Source organism: Homo sapiens, chromosome 3 (genome assembly GCF_000001405.40).
Source record: "Homo sapiens chromosome 3, GRCh38.p14 Primary Assembly".
Classification (NCBI taxonomy): Eukaryota; Metazoa; Chordata; class Mammalia; order Primates; family Hominidae; genus Homo; species Homo sapiens.
In genome coordinates this window covers 41,114,051-41,130,140 of record NC_000003.12, presented here as the reverse complement: position 1 = coordinate 41,130,140, position 16,090 = coordinate 41,114,051, and the positions used below count along the sequence as shown (strand labels likewise).

Sequence of the window (16,090 nt, the reverse complement as noted above, 5' to 3'; positions counted from 1 at the left end):
CTAAGTTGATGTTTTTATTTTGCTAAAACATATCCACCAGTAGCTTCCTAAAAAAGGATGCATAAGGGGTAAATTTTTTGAGTCATTGTATGTGAACTCTCTTTAGTCTGTCCTCATACTCAATTGAGAGTTTGTCTAGATTTAGAATGTCAGTTTGAAATTAATTTTGCCTCAGAATTGAGATATAGCTCCATTGCTTTCTAGCATTCATAATTGCTATTGAGATGTCTGATGTAATTCTTTGCATCTTTGTATTCTTTGTATATGACTTTTTTGTTGTTGTTCTTCCTGGAATTAATTAATTAATTAATTTATTTATTTATTTATTTTGAGACAGAGTCTTGCCTTTGTCACCCAGGTTGGTGTATAGTGGCATGATCTCAGCTCACTGCAGCCTCCGCCTCCTGGGTTCAAGAGATTCTCCTGCCTCAGCCTACTGAGTAGCTGGGATTACAGGTGCCTGCCATTGTGCCCAGCTAATTTTTGTACTTTTAGTAGAAACAGGGTTTCACCATGTTGGCCAGGCTCGTCTCCAACTCCTGACCTCAGGTGATCTGCCTGCTTTGGCCTCCCAAAGTGCTGGGATTACAGGCGTGAGCCACCGCGCCTGACCTCTTTCTGAAATTTTTTAAGGCTCTCTTTATCACTGATATCCTGATATTTGATGATAAAGTGCCTTAATGTGAATCTTTTCCAATTCATTCTCTGAGGTCCACAGTGGAATCTTTCAGTAGGAGACAAGAGTCCTCTAATTTTTAGAAATTTTTTTTTTTTTTTTTTTGCTAATTTCTTTCCCTCTCTTTTTTTCTCTTGAGGCTCCAAATAGTTAGATGTTGCATCTTTTAGACCAGAGTTTTTCACATGTCAAGTTGTGCCTCATTTGAAAGTCAAAACATCAGTTTAGTCGGTTGTAATGAGCACTTTTAAAAAGTGAAATAGAATAAAATAGAAAATTGTATTTTCTGTATTTGTGATGGTTCATTTTGCGTGTCAACTTGAGTGAGCTAAAGGATGTCCAGATAGTAAAATGTTATTTCTGGGTATGTCTGTGAGGGTGTTTCTGGAAGAGATTAACCTTTGACTCAGTCTGTCCTCACCAGTATGGGCAAGCATCATCCAATCTATTGAGGGCCCTGATAGAACACAAAGGTGAACGAAGGGAAAATTTTCACTCTTCTTAAGCTGGTACATCCATCTTTTCCTTCCCTCAGACATCAGAGCTTCTGGTTCTCAGGCCTTGGACTCCAGGACTTACACCAGTGTTCTTCCCCCACTCCCAGCTACCCCTCCAGTTGTCAGATCTTTGGCTTTGCACTGGAAGTTACACCATTAGCTCCCTCTGTTCTCAGGTCTTTGGACTTGGACTGAATTACACCACCAGCTTTCTAGGTTCTCCAACTTGTACATGGGATATAATGGAACTTCTCAGCCTCCATAGTTGGGTGAGCCATTTCTGACAATAAATCCCCTCATATATCTACATATATCCTATTGGTTCTGTTTTTCTAGTGAAAACTGATGAATACAGCATATCATATAACAAGTATCAGAATTGTGTGTGAGTATTTATGTGTAGTGGGTTGCAATGCAATAGGAGATACATTTATTGCTATGGGTCATGGTAAAAAAAAGTTTACATAGCACCACAAACTGCTTAATTTTTTTTTAAATCCTTGCTCTTCTATTATCTATTTCCTGGCCTTTTTGTTTTAATTTCTTCCAACCCTTTTACTGAATTTAAAATTTTGGCTATCAGGTTTTTAATTCCTAAGAGGTCTATTTGCTATTTATTCTTTTTCCATAGTACCCCTGGCCCTCACCACTCCAGAGCATGCTAGCCTGACTTCTAGCTGCCACAGCCTGCATTGCTTTTCCCGAAGGCTTCCTCTGGCCACTGAAGCCCATTCAAGCCATCCAAGTGAGAGGTTGGATATACCAGGGAATTAACACGTCTCCTTTCTTCCCCCGTCCCCCTGCTCACCCTCAACCAAAGACTGTGGGAATTGGTAAAAAAAAAATACCTTAGCTAATTTGAGAATAATATGAAGCCTATGTTTTACATGGTTTCTCATTTTCTTGAGGGGTTAAACTCTAGTGACCCATAGTAGTAAATGGTCAACAATGTACCCTTTATTGACTGCTCCCCCTTTCTTGTCTAACTTCCTCACTCTTCTTTATTCCAATATAAATGACTTGCATTTGAATCCTTGTCTCAAGGTCTCCTTTTTGGGGACCCTTGTCTGACCAAATTACTAGGTGATGCTTCTAAGCTTCTCTGGGGGGATTTGCATTATAAGTAGTGGCTTTGAAGAAGCTCTAGCTCCTTGGGAAAAGTCTGCTCCATCTCTGTAGAAGCAAGCAAGCAATTTTCAGGTTTGGGCATACTGCACGGGTATTTCTGATCAAAGCCAGGACATGACCTCATGTGGGGAGGTGCAGGTGACAGCTTGTTCCACGGACACATGAAGCCTGGACCATATAAAGAAGGGCCTTATTCCAAGTGATGATGATGCTTGGCACAAATTTGATTCACCCCAGAAAATCCTCACCTTCTGTCAGGTATCAACCTTGGCACCCCTATGCCCACCTGTCCATTGGCAAGCCCCTGAAGGCAGATGGATCTCCCAGGGACTGTGGCTCTTGGCTTTCCAGCTCACATTAAACCCTTCAGAGTGGCCTCAAGGAGCAGGACAGCTCAGGCTTGGGAGGGGAGACCATCATTAAATAATTAAGTATGAGGTTATTCTTTATTGGCCCCTTCAGGGTTAATCATAAGAATTAACAAACAGCATGTATGGCTGAGAGCCCTGCTGTTTATTTTAATAGCTGTCTTACATCTTGAGGGGGAAAAACAGAGAAAGAGCTGAGCAGAGCTGGAATAAACCCAAGTTTAGCTTCCAGCCAAGTGCAGCATGCAGCACTCTGGGGAGCTTGGCTGGTGGCACCAAGGAGGGCTGAGATGGGGCAGGAGGGAGTCCCAGGTGAGGGATGTGGTTGGGTGATTCCTGTCTACTGAGATGACCTTTGTCAATGAATGCCTCTCCCTGTGTGGTCTGTTGACTGCCCACCTAATAGGAAATCTTGACTACGATAGTTCTTTGGACTATTTTGTTCCTAACTCATTCCCTTTATTCCTGCTTCTTCCTCCCAGTGCAGAACATACCATAAGTGACTCCTTAGTTCAAGTATTGGAACAGTCTGATATTTAATGAGTATTGTTTTCTTGCGATCTGTGTAGCTGTGTTGTGTGTTTCTCAGCTCAGTGGCCAGATGATAGCCAATTCCTGGAAAAAGCAGAGTCCTCATGCTGGGGGGTCAGAGCTGGGGAAGGGGCACAAGAGGCCATTTCCTTTGTGACCAGGGCAAGAAGGTACTTTGTGAGAATACGACAAGCTATCACTTTACGGAGTGTACCTATGTCACGAGGCAAGTAAAGACAGGATATTCCAGTCAGTGACCAGTGCTGAATCCTTACCAAGGAGACAGAACAGAATAAATATTGAGCTTGTCTCTCATAGCATCCAAGTGGGTGTTGGGCATGTACCTTGAAGCAATGACTGAGCCTGTCTTTTGTGGAAACAGATAAAGCATGCAATAGCCACCAATTCTATGACGACAGACACTCAACACCATTCAGAGATCTAAATCCCTCTCTGTACTGTGCTAACCTAGCTCCTTGAGCTTTGTCTTTGAGCTCTGCCATGAGGGCCCTAAGCACATGGGAATGGACTGTGAAGCCCTGAAGAATCAAATAAGGCAACTCTTGCTGGGGGCTTACCTGGAATTTTAGCTAGTAATCTCATCTCCTGGGAGTTTTGCCCATCCTGTTCCTAGCCTCTGGGAGGCCTCCAGCTCAAGCTCAAGGGATCCTATGGCTGGTGTCCCCTGTAGCCCTCACATACCCTCCTGTCTCACCCTTCTAGTCCTCTGGTCACTCATGTCCCCCTCCTGTCTTTCTCTCTCTGGCAGTCCTTTGGGATGTACTTCTGTGTGCTGACCTCAGCCCAGCCTGCTTAATTCCTCTGGGCTTCCTGCAGCCTAGGACAGCTTCTGCCCTGCAACTCGAGCCTCAGGAGATTGCTGGCCATCCCTCAGGGAGAAGGTGTAGACAAGATTTATGCAGGGAGATTATTCAGTCACTTCCTCCCACTACCCTTCCATTCTGCCTCCATTACCCCCAGAGACCCCTGATATTAAATATCTTTTTACTGAGGAGTTGCCCAGCTGGCCTTGCCCGTGTTTTGCTTCCTTATCAAGTGTGACCCCTTTGCATGGGTTGCCTTTCTTTTGGGGAGGAGTGGTCCAAATTCTCTCTTTCAGGAGGAGAGACTGCTCTGGGATTATTTTGGTTGTAGCTTTCCTTTTTTAAAAACAAGGATCTATGTCTTTGCATTTGTCTATTTGAGGCAAAAAGAGGGTAATTAGCATTAGTTTCTGAGCTTAGAACTATAGGAGATATAGGATATAGAGCTATAAGAGTCTTGCTACTATGTCAGTCATCCATTGCTGTGTAACAGACAATGCCAAAACTTTGTGGTTTAAAACATCAACCAATTATTTAGCGTGTGATGTTGTGAGTCAGCAATTTGGGCTGGGCTCAGCCAAGTGGTTCTTCTGGTCTTGTTTGGACTCACTCATGAGCCTGTGGTCAGTTAGCAAGCTCATTCATAAAATATCATTTCTTTCAAATGGTTGGCTGGCTGTTGGCTTGTCTTTGCATCATGTGACCTCTTATCTTCTAGCAGCTAGCCCAGGTTTTTGCACTAGGTGGGTGGATACGGTTCAAAGAGAATGAGCAGGCTCAAAACTGGTTCAGTATCACCTCTTCTGCCTGTTGGTCAAAGTGTGTACAAGTCCAACACAGATGCCAGGGGAAGGGATAGAGGGATCTGGAAAGGTACATTGCAAAGGGACATGGATTAGGAAAGGGTGGGGGAATTGTGCCCAGTTTTGCAAATGATCTACCTATCATGCTATCTCTGTACTGCCCTTTCTTTTTATAAAACATATGGTGATATTCAAGCAGCACTATTCTCTAAGTCCAGAATTTTCTCCATAGGCTCCCTTTCCACTTCTAAGCAATGGTCCTCATATTGCAAGGGGTGGGTGTTGGAGGAGCAAATTATATGAAAATTCCTGTACATCAGCACCACAGGGATCCCAAAGTGAACTAGCCTGTCCGTGGAGAGGCTTACAGCCTGGAAGGGACAGAAAGAAATGAAACAAACTTTCCAAAACAGTCCCCCAGGTGCTTTGATAATTAAGGTGAGGAAACAGTGCAGGCATTTTCCCCCCCATATTTTTTTACTTATTATTTTGAAATAATTTCAGATTTCCAAAAAAGTTGCTGAAGCCATACAGAGCTCTTGTGTGCTGTTCACTCAACTTCTCTTAATGTTAACATCTTGTATAATGATGGTACAAGGATAAAAACCAATAAATTAATGTTGATGTCACCCTATTAGCCAATCTACAGACTTTATTCATATTTTGCCAATTGTCCCACTAATGCTCTTTTTTCTGGTCCAGGATTCAATTCAGGATCCTGCATTACATTTAGTTGTTGTGTCTCCTTAGTCTCCTTTAATCTGGGAAATTTCCTCAGTCTTTCTTTGCCTTTTGTCACCATGGTGCTTTTGAAAAATGTTAGCCAGGCTGGGCGCAGTGGCTCACGCCTGTAATCCCAGCACTTCGGGAGGCCAGACAGAGTTCAAGACCAGCCTGGCCAACATGGTGACACCTCATCTCTACTAAAAATACAAAAATTAGCTGGATGTGGTGGTGCGGGCCTGTAGTCCCAGCTACTCACAAGGCTGAGACACAGGAATCACTTGAACCTGGGAGGCAGAGGCGGCAGTGAGCCAATATCGCACCACTGCACTCCAGCCTGGGTGACAGAGTGAGACCTCATCTCAAAAAAATAAAAATAAATAGATAAATAAAAAACGTTAGCCAGTCATTTTGTAGAATGTCTCTTAATGTGGGTTTGAAAGGTGTAATGTCAGCATGTTTTATTGTCGGTGATCTTAACTTTGATGGCTTGGTGGTGTCTGTCAGGTCTCCCCACTATAAAGTTACTATTGTTCCCTTTCTAATTAATAGGTATCTTGTGGGGAGATAGTTTAAGATTATGTAAATATCCTGTTCTCAGCATGCATCTGTCTGCTAATTTTAGCATTAGCTTCACATTATTGCCTACAACCCTTAGTGTGGTAATTGCCAAGTGGTGATTTTCTTTCTTTCTTTTTTGTTTTGGAGACAGGGTTTTGTTCTGTTGCCCAGGCTGGAGTGCAGTGGTACAGTCACAGCTCACTGCAGCCTCGACCACCTGGGCTCAGGTGATCCTCCCACCTCAGCCTCCTCAGTAACTGGGACCACAGGTGTGTGCCACCATGCCTGATTAATTAAAAAAATTTTTTCTTGTAGAGATGAGTGTCTCACCATGTTGACTGGCTGGTCTCAAACTCCGGGGCTCAAGTGATCCTCCTACTTCAGCCTCCCAAAGTGCTGGGATTACGGGAGTAAGCCCACTGCGCCCAGCTCAAATGGTGATTTTCTATTTCTATTATTCCTCGTACACCTATTAATTAGAATTCTGTAAGGAAGAGCTGTTCCTTCTCTGTTATTTATTGATTTATTAAATTATTTATTTATATCAGTGTGGACACTTGGCTATAATCCTTTACTATCATTATTTATTTTGCTAGAGCAGGCTTCTTAAACGGTCAGAAACCACACAGTGTCTTAATGATCTATAATGTGCTGATCACTTCCTCCAGAATGTGTGGCCTCAAGGGCAGGGCCTGGGGCATATGCATGTCTGCATCTCCCAGGCCCTGGGCCTTGCATGATGCCTGGTGTAATGATGTGCTGAATGAGTGAATGAATGAATTAATAAATGATTCTAGTACCTGGAAGTAGAGCAATAATAAAATCTAGAGGCTCTAAGCTCCAAAAGGTTTATGATACCTTTTTCTCTAAGCTTGATAAGTTGAAACAAAATAAAAATACTCTAAACTGTAAAATATATAAGGAAGGCCAAACTGGTTCTCAGTATTCTCCATATTGGCTGCTTAGTTGCCTTAATATCAAACGTTTTAAAAAAGTGTTGCTAGTTGTCTGTGTTTGCTAGTGCCCCAAACACATACTAGGTCTGCCTGTTGATCATTGTAAGCCTCTTGGAAGAGTTGGTGTGGGGGCAGTGACTTCACAGAGGAGGGTATAATTGAGGTGGATCTTCAAGAGTACATAGGCATTTCAGACAAAAGAAAGGGAGAAGAGTATTCCGGGCAGAGGAAATATTAGGTTAGTGCAAAAGTAATTGCCGTTTTTGCAATTTGAAAGTAATGGCAAAAACCGCAATTACTTTTGCATCAACCTAATAGCACATGCAATGCTTAAAGGAATGGAAAACAGTGACATTTTGGACAAATGGTCATTAGCCCCATGTAGAGGAATGGCAGGGCATGAGACTTGTGTGGGAAATAATGGGTAGAAAATTGGAAAAAGCCTTGAATGTCATATCTAGGGATTTGGACTTGATCCTATAGGTAATGGGGAGCCAAAGGAGGTTCTAAGTTGGGCAATGATGACATTCATTCATTTAAGAAAAGCTTACTGAGTATCTACCACCTGATGGTCCAATTCTGGAAAAGACCCAGTCCTGGTCCTCATGGAGCCAGGAGGGGGAGAGTGTCAGTGGACACATTATAAAACAATCAGAGTTTCTACAAAAATCCATGTTTTGGGAAGAGACTGATGGCAGAGGTGAACAGGCAGGGAGGGAGTAACTCATCTTCTTCCTCTTTCCTGCCTTGCTTTGCTTGGGCACACTCTAAACCCACAGCTTCCAGAAGAAGGGAGAAAGGAATGGTCAGCCTTATGAAGTCCTGCAATCTGTGGGGCGGACAGGAACTTTGATCCAGGCACTTCTTTCTACAAACAGGAGAAACCCTTCCTCTATAAAGTCCCTGACCACTATGGCGTTAGGGTGAACGAAGACTTCTAGACCTTATGTGGCTTGATACCTGGAAACTCAGGAGATACTCAGGGATAAGAGTTTGGTTTAGCGAGGGCAGTGTTTATATGCTAAATTTAGATTCCTGCTCTTTATTTTGTAGCTGTAACCCCCAAACACAGATGATATAGGTCATTGATGTTTGCTGTATGTGCCATGTTCATATCCCCTCTAGCTTACCATTGCTTTCAACAGCCAGTGCTTGCATCTGTTTGCTGGAAGTATTCTCTGCAGACAGTGTGCACAAGCCCAAACAGCCAGAGAGTTCATGCCCTCCTCCCAGTAGTCCTCCACCAAGGGTTAGCAGGAGTTGGTAGAGAAATATTCCAGCTCCTTCGCCCTTCTTGTGTAATAACTCTGAGGTGTGTTCTGTACTGACTCCCAGAGTTGGCCAGGGGGATTAAGTTCCAGTTGCCCACAGTGTTGCTTGACAACAAACCCTTATTGGCTCCTTCCCTCCTGTCTCACTTCTGACTCTTCTACAGGTGGTCCTAGGAACTCCTCAAATAAACTACCTCCACTGAAATCTTGGCTTCAGGATCTGCCTATGGGGGAACCCACATTAAGATGACATATGCACGGTGTATATTAAGGAAGCATCCTGTCATTTGCATGACAAGATAAGCCACCTGGCTTACCTCATCTAGGGTGGGAACGAGCTGCTGTCAGTGGAGGCACAGTCAGCTATGGTGACTGCCCCCAACCCCTCTCCATTTCCACTTTCTCGGGCTGCCTTCTTCCCCTGGTATTTGTCAAATACCACCCTTGACTCTGGAGCCTGAGGAAGGGAAAGATCACATCAGAAGTTGAGCTCAGGCAGGGTCTGCTTAACACAGGCAAGACTGATGGAGAAGGAATCCATGGCTCACCCCTTTTCAGTCATTTCCTTGCAAATAGCAAGGAGCAGCTTCACATTTTTTTTTTTCGGTCTAATCACTAAGAACTCCCCTCTGGTGGATACTTTTTTAAGAGCATAATAGAAGGTGTGATATCTTGTGAGAGGCGCCAGAATCACTTGGAGAATGGCAGCTCTGGGATTGAACGAGGAGGTGATAAGTTCCTGGGAATATTAAAGATTAACACCAAATACTTTGTTGCTATTTAACTGTCTGACAATTCATGTTGCTGAAGCGGAAACAGAACATTTCTTTCCCTCCCTTCTGTTTATTCCTTCTCTTCTCTGTTCTGGGGATTCAGAAGCTGTGGATGTCAGATGCCAACTCCTTAAGGGCTGAAATGGTTTTATATAATAACAGAGGCGGGGGCCTACAAAATGAAGAAAGAATCTAATTCAGTGCTTGGGCTGAAATGGGAACTGGAAACGAAGGGGGAGCATTCTTAAAAATAGCTCACTCAGAGAGAAGAATGCAGCTTGTCTCCCAGCGGCAGGCTCAACCCTTGGGTGAATTATAGGAACCTACTGTAGGCCTTGTGCGTTCCCTTTTGAAATGTTGATCGTGGCTAAAAGGAGGTGGTTGAATGGAAGGCTGCTGGTGACTGATGCTCAGAGCAGTTCTTGGCACTGGACGAGGCTGCCAGGCCTCCATTTGCAACCTACACAGGCAACATGCCACTGGGACACATATGCCTCGTTCCCTCCCACTAATTATGTATGCATCTCCTATTGCGGGAACTCCAAACCCTTCACAGAGGCACACACAAGTCTCTAAAAAGGGATGAGGAAGGAGCCTTTGGGAGCCCAGGGAAAGGCGGGGGAGAGTGAGAGAGAATGAAGGGAGAGCAGTAAGACAGGAGATAATGATGTGGCACCTTCGGGACCCAGTGGCCCCGGGAGACACAAAAAGAGGAGGCTGGGGAGTGGGGAGAAGGAGGAGAGAGAGACCAGATGGGGATAAGAAGCCCGCAGGGATAAGCGGAGGGAATCCAGACAAACAGAAACAGAAGGAAGGAGGAGGATTGTCGATGGGAGGAAAAGGAGGCAGTCATTTCCTTGCTGGATAGTAAAGGAATGGGGCACAGCACCCTTCACCCCTCCCACAGGCTGCAAATAATTCCTTCTTCCTGTGCCCCAACCCCACCCTGTGTTTATAAGAGGAGCCATGCTTGATTCTGTTTTGCAGTCATCTTTGCTTCTAGCGGACAACTCCTGGGAAAAGTTTGGAAATCTTACAATTGTTGCAGGCTTTCACTGCAGTCTTTCAGCTTGTCAAGTGGTCACTTAGCAGATGTGCTAGGTTCATCAAGGGATCTCTGGGTCAGTCCTCTTCTGCTCTCTGGAAGGTTTGCCTTTGAGTGATTACCAGTCCACGTGCCCCATCTTTATCTCCTCAGACTCCACCAATCTGGACAGGGTCCCCTAATGGTTTCTTCCCTGGTCTGAGATCCCTGAGAAAGTGTGCAGGCAGGCAGACAAGGCAGCCTACAGCCCTTGCTGTAGCATCTTCCAAATTTAAACCAACAAGGAGGAGGAAGGGAAGAGGGCAAGAGCTTTGTCCTGCATTCCTGGTAGCCTGTATGGCACCACCATGGAGGCTCCTGCTGTGCTCTTGGCAGCTGCCCATCTCCCATGGCACCTTTTATTTCCATATACCTGCTGACCTCAAGCATGCAATTTTTTCCTTTTTAAGAGACAGGGTCTCACTCAGGCTGGAGAGCAGTGGTGTGATCATAACTCACTATAACCTCGTACTCCTGGGCTCAATCCATCCTCCCACCTTAGCCTTCCAAGTAGCTAGGACTACAGGTGCAGGCCACCATGTCTTGCTAATTTTTTCATTTTTAGTTTTTTTGTATTGATGAGGTCTCATTATGTTGCCCAGGCTGGTCTTGATCTCCTGAACTCAAGTGATCCTTCTGCTTTGGCCTCCAAAATTGTTGGGATTATAGGTATGAGCCACCACAAGTGTGCAGCCACATGTCTCTCTCTGCCTAGGGACTTTGACCTGGGAGCAGCCCTAAACCAATGACTGGTGTGCAAATGCACCAGCTTCCTTGTCCCTTGGATGGCACAACTCTGAGGCATGTCCTATCCAGTCTCCCAGAGAGCCATCATGGGACTGAGCCCAGTTGCGCACAGAGGCATCTTGATCAGGAACACCCCCTGTACTGTCCTTTCCTTCCCCGTCTCACTTTCCTTACTATCCTATTGGAATTTCCTGGGATTACCTCCCAAATAAACAATGTGCCTTCGAACTCTAATCTCCTGAGGGCACTAGCCCAAGGCAGGGGCTGTGTGGTTGGAGCAGCTCCTCCCAGATCACGTGAGTGGAGGGGACGTGAAGGGCTGTGTCACCAAGGTGTTAGCACTTCACAAACGAGGGGCTATTTATCATCCACTGGTTGGGGTTTGGGTTTCCTAGAGACCACTCAGACAACTTGCTGGTGTTTCCACAGTGATGTAGTTTGGATATTTGTCTCCACCCAAATCTCATGTTGAATTATAATCCCCAGTGCTGGAGGTGGGGCTAGTGGGAGGTGTTTGGGTCACGGGGGCGGATCTCTCATGGCTTGGTGTAGTCTTTACGATAGTGGTGAGCTCTTGTGAGATGTGGTTGTTTAAAAGTATGTGGGACCTCTCCCCTAGCACTCTCTCTCTCTTGCTCCTGCTCTCACCATGTGACGTGCCTGCTCTTGCTTTGCCTTCTGCCATGAGTAAAAGCCTCCTCAGCCTCCTCAGAAGCAGATGCTGCCATGCTTCCTGGACAGCCTGCAGAACTGTGAATCAATTAAACCTCTTTTCTTTATAAATTACCCAGTCTCAGGTATTTCTTTATAGCAATGCACGAATTGCCTAGTACACACAGAGACTGGCAGGAGCTACCTTAGGTAACAAACAACAGAAAAACAAGAAAACAGTGGGAAAAGAATATGCACAGTAACTTTTGCACGTTGACGGACATACTTTGAGAATTAACAACCCAAATCGAGTGAAAAGCCTTTAAAGCAAAGTATGGGCATGGAGAGAACTGACCTGGCTGACTCTGACCCTTCTCAAACTCTGATCTGTGACGTGGATGCAGGCAATAGAAACATGGAGTGTGGCTGCCTCTGACCCCAAGGAGAGTGACCCTGGGGTCTTAAGAGAGGAGTTGTGGTGTCTGGAAAGAGTCTGATCATTGGAGGAGACAGGCTAGGGTGGAGTCCCTGCTCCCCATGCTCTAATTGTGTTTACCCTGAGAAAAAGATTTAACTTCTCTGAACCTCAGTTTCCCCATCTGTAAAAGGGAGGCCATAAAACCCCACAGAATTGTCATGAAGATTAAAAACAACATAATGCCTGTCTGGCAGCTAGTATCAGTCAGGCTTCCTTTTCTCTTTTCTTTGTCCTTTCAGGGAGCCGTACCCTTGGCCTGACTGAGGCCAGGTTTAGGGGAAAAGGAAGCGTGTCTCAAGTGCCCCGGCCACAAGGTCAGGCATTGGGTTGGCCGACTACCCCAGCTCCCCACATGCAGCCAGTCTGCGTCAGTGGGCGTGGGAAAGAGACGTAAACGCTGAAGGGCACTAAACACGAGTTAGACATGCCATTCCGCACCACCAACACATTTCAAAAGTGCACATCACAAGGCTCTTGTTGAAGCCCTGGCGGCCAGCCAGGGTCAGACCACAAAAGGAAGTTGTTTCCTCGCTGGAGCTGCTGGGCGGCTGGGCGTGGTCAGAGCGCCACATCATTGCAGAATGCAGGGCTCTTTGGTGACTTCCTGTCCTCCCATCCATTTTTTTCTCCTATGGGCCCTGCTGCACTGCCCTGGTAATGCCCCAGCCAGCCAGAAAAGTCAGCATTCACCTGACCTTTCCCTATGTCACAGAAATGGAAGGTCTGTGATATTCACATGGGCCCTGTTGCAGTGGCCACCACAGCCTTCCAGGCCTCTACCTTGGCTTTTTCTCCCCTTGGAGTATAAGGAAACGGTTATTTTATCCACAGTTGGTAGCAATCACATTTCGTCTGTATCATTGAGGTCTGAAAGGCAGCCACGGGCCCCAGAGGTGGCAGAAGGTCTGTGATGCAGCTGGAGTAAGTCAGGCCTCGTTCCCAGCAGACAATCTGCAAATATTTATTGAGGGTCTGCTCTGCACCCAGGGCTGCGGGGCACACAGAGACGCCCCGTGTGAGACAAGGAGCTTGTGTTCTGACTGGGAAGGCCAGACTGACACACAGGAAACCAGGGGGTCCTGTTGACCCTGAGCTATGCTTTTAATGCACGATTGTGTGGTAAGGTGTAGGCCAAATACCAAGACATTGGTCTTAGGCTCCGTGATCTGGTGCATTCTCAGAATCTGGAGAAGATTGTAGAAGTTAATCTTGTTTTGCCCAGGGGCTTTCCTCCAAGCAGCACTAAATCCACTAAATCCCCACATGGTCTCTAGCCCCTTTTCTCTCATTGGTCTTTTTGCCCTTTATCTTTAACTCCACTTAAGTTTTATTCCTTCAAACTAAGACTATAAACATTCAGAAATTGTTTGCACTTATCAATTAGTCCTCAAAAATACCTTGCAAGGGACGTCCTGCTATTTTTCTTTTCCAGAGGAGGAAACAGGCTGAATGTGATAAGTGGCACAGCCAGGATCACAAAGAGGGTTGATCTGTCCTGTGTGGTCCCTAACTCTTAGGGTTCTCATAGGTGGGGTAGAACTGGAAAAGATGCTGGCAGAGTCAGCTCTGTGCTTGGGCTTGCAAGAATGTCAGTCCATGGAAGCAGGATCCTCAAATATCACATAAATAGACTCTAAATCCTAAGAAATGAAAAAAATGAAACTAAATTCACAATTCCTATATGCCTACCCACCTGAGATAGCTACCTATTTGGATAAATACCTATATATACTTTTGCATGCATTGAAATATTGTGACTCAAGTAATGGGACAGTAGAAAGTGCTTTTTAATTTATCTTTATTTTTTATTTGGAGACATGATCTCACTCTGTCCCCAGGCTGGAGTGCAGTGGTGTGATCATAGCTCACTATAGCCTTGAACTTCTGAGCTCACGCTATCCTTCTGCCTCAGCCTTCTGAATGGCTGGGACTACAGGTGTGTGCCACCATATCTGGCTAATTTTGTTGTTGTTGAGACGGAGTCTTGCTATATTGCTCAGGGAGGTCTCTAACTCTTGGGCTCAAGCAATCCTCCTGCCTCGGCCTCCCAACACTGGGATTATAGTTGTGAGCCACTGCTTTGCCTGTTTTTTTTTTTTTAATCTTGAGTCATTGAACTCTCATTGGTTGGACTATGTACTGACATTTGCACCTAGAACTAGTCTAACTCTTTTAGGGCTCCCTTAGTTTTACTCAGCCCATTTGCCATTCTTGCTCTGTACAAGACAACTTCTGTTGTTGGAATTTGAGTCCAGTGTATAGCATGTCTCTTCTCCACCTGGATTCTGAATCATTGAGGCAGATCTAGAAAGCCTCTGGATTGACAACGGAAAATCAGCATCCTCACCAGCAAAGCTGATGGTAGAGAATGAACCTTAGCTATGTGGCAACTGTGGATATCAAAATACCAAACTTATGATTAGACAGACTTACATCTCAAGCAGGCTTTGCTGAACCATTGCAGTCCTCCCCAGGTGGGGGCCGACCCTACATTTGGGGAGCAGGGAAGAATGCAGGTCTCCTGCAGGCTGCCAGAGCCCAAAGACACAAGAACTTCTCAGTAGCTTTTTTCGACCTCATCCAATCAGGGAAGAGTGCAGGGTGGGTAGAGGTCAGGGTTATTAAGCAGGTAAAGCCCCTTCCCCAAGAGTGCAAACCATGCCATAGCTACACGAACGACAGAGTCACTCTCCATAAGCACAGCCTTTCTAACCCCATGTAACTCAACTCTGGCTGTTTCGAAGACCTATCATTGAGTTCAGGGGTTGAAGGTCAATTTGTTGGTAGCTGCCTGGGGTTGTTCATTGGACAGGGATGAGAGGGTGGAGAAAAGGACCTTGACAATCTGTTGCAACATTTTCCTGCACAAAGAGGCCTAGTAATGTGCTCATTAATGGCACGGTGATTAAACCTGGGTTTAAGTCCTGGCTTTTTTCCTAATTTCCTTATCTATAGCATGGAGATAATAATTATACTTACTTTTTTTTTTAAACATGAATTTAATGAAATAATTTCCAACAAAGGCCTTAGCACAGTTCCTGGCACGTAGTAACTGCTTAATGAGTATTTGCTTTTATTACGTCCAGTGGAATGCCTTGTGCTGAGATCATCACGCTTCCGTAGAGCACCTGCCACTCCGTTTTCTTATTTGTACAATGGCAATGTAGTCAGCTCATGTCTAATCCTGAGCATGGTGCTGGACACACAGCATCTGTGTTAGTTAATTCCACCAGCAAGTGCCTTCCTGACTCAAAGCTGAGCTCTTTGTATTATACTAAGGGAATTAGTGTTTGGACTAGGGATAACAGCAGGGGATAATGTGAAGTTGCTGCTCAGTCATGGTGGGAGGAGAACCTGGGGCCTTGGAGGAAGAAAAACATGGTTCTAGCTGGTCAGTGATGAGCATGAAAAGGGAGATGGAGGCAGCCAAAGATAAGCTTCTCTGCTTTTCTACTTTTTTCCTTGCAGAGGGAACTTCTAGGATCCAGGTGCATCATGGATAGCCCCTGAGCTGGTCATTGTGTTGAGTGGCTGGCAAGACAATCTCTCTCTGTTTCTCTCGTTCATTCTTGTTCCCTCCTGCCTTCACACTCTGCCTCCCTCTCTCTGACTCTCCCTTCCTGTCTCTGCCTTCCAAACTCCAGAACCTCCTGCCCTCTCTAATTATTAGGCTTACAGCCTTGGATCTGGCCCCTGCATTTTTCGGGCAATGAGAGCAAGCCCTGACTATGTTGTGACGTTCTTTTCGACAAAACTGCCTTTTAGGTAAATACTTTCTGGGCCAATCTCACTGAATTAACTATCTGGGTCATTTGAATTTCTTCTCCGGGAAATAATTATGGCCTTTGGGAAATGTAAAGTGTAGAGCAGTCCTGTGAGCAGAGAGAAAATACCAGCCTCCTTCTCCCTATGCCACCTCCTTCCAGTTCTATGTGACCCAGGGAACCAAATTAGCAGTGACTCCCATCTCAGGGACCCAGTGTTGCTTTGGATCTCTCTGGGGAAGTCCCTTAGGCACT

The 16,090-nt window shown here is 45.3% G+C and overlaps 2 annotated features.

The window, feature by feature from the left end:
* Positions 12,459-12,588: an enhancer, noted in NCBI's record as "active region_19723". NCBI's record gives its function as "activates an Ori minimal core promoter by ATAC-STARR-seq in GM12878 lymphoblastoid cells {active_cell/tissue: GM12878}" and the evidence as "EXISTENCE:reporter gene assay evidence [ECO:0000049][PMID:35858748]".
* Positions 14,709-15,003: an enhancer, noted in NCBI's record as "tiled region #10354; HepG2 Activating DNase matched - State 5:Enh". NCBI's record gives its function as "activates a minimal TATA promoter and a strong SV40 promoter by Sharpr-MPRA in HepG2 cells {active_cell/tissue: HepG2}" and the evidence as "EXISTENCE:reporter gene assay evidence [ECO:0000049][PMID:27701403]".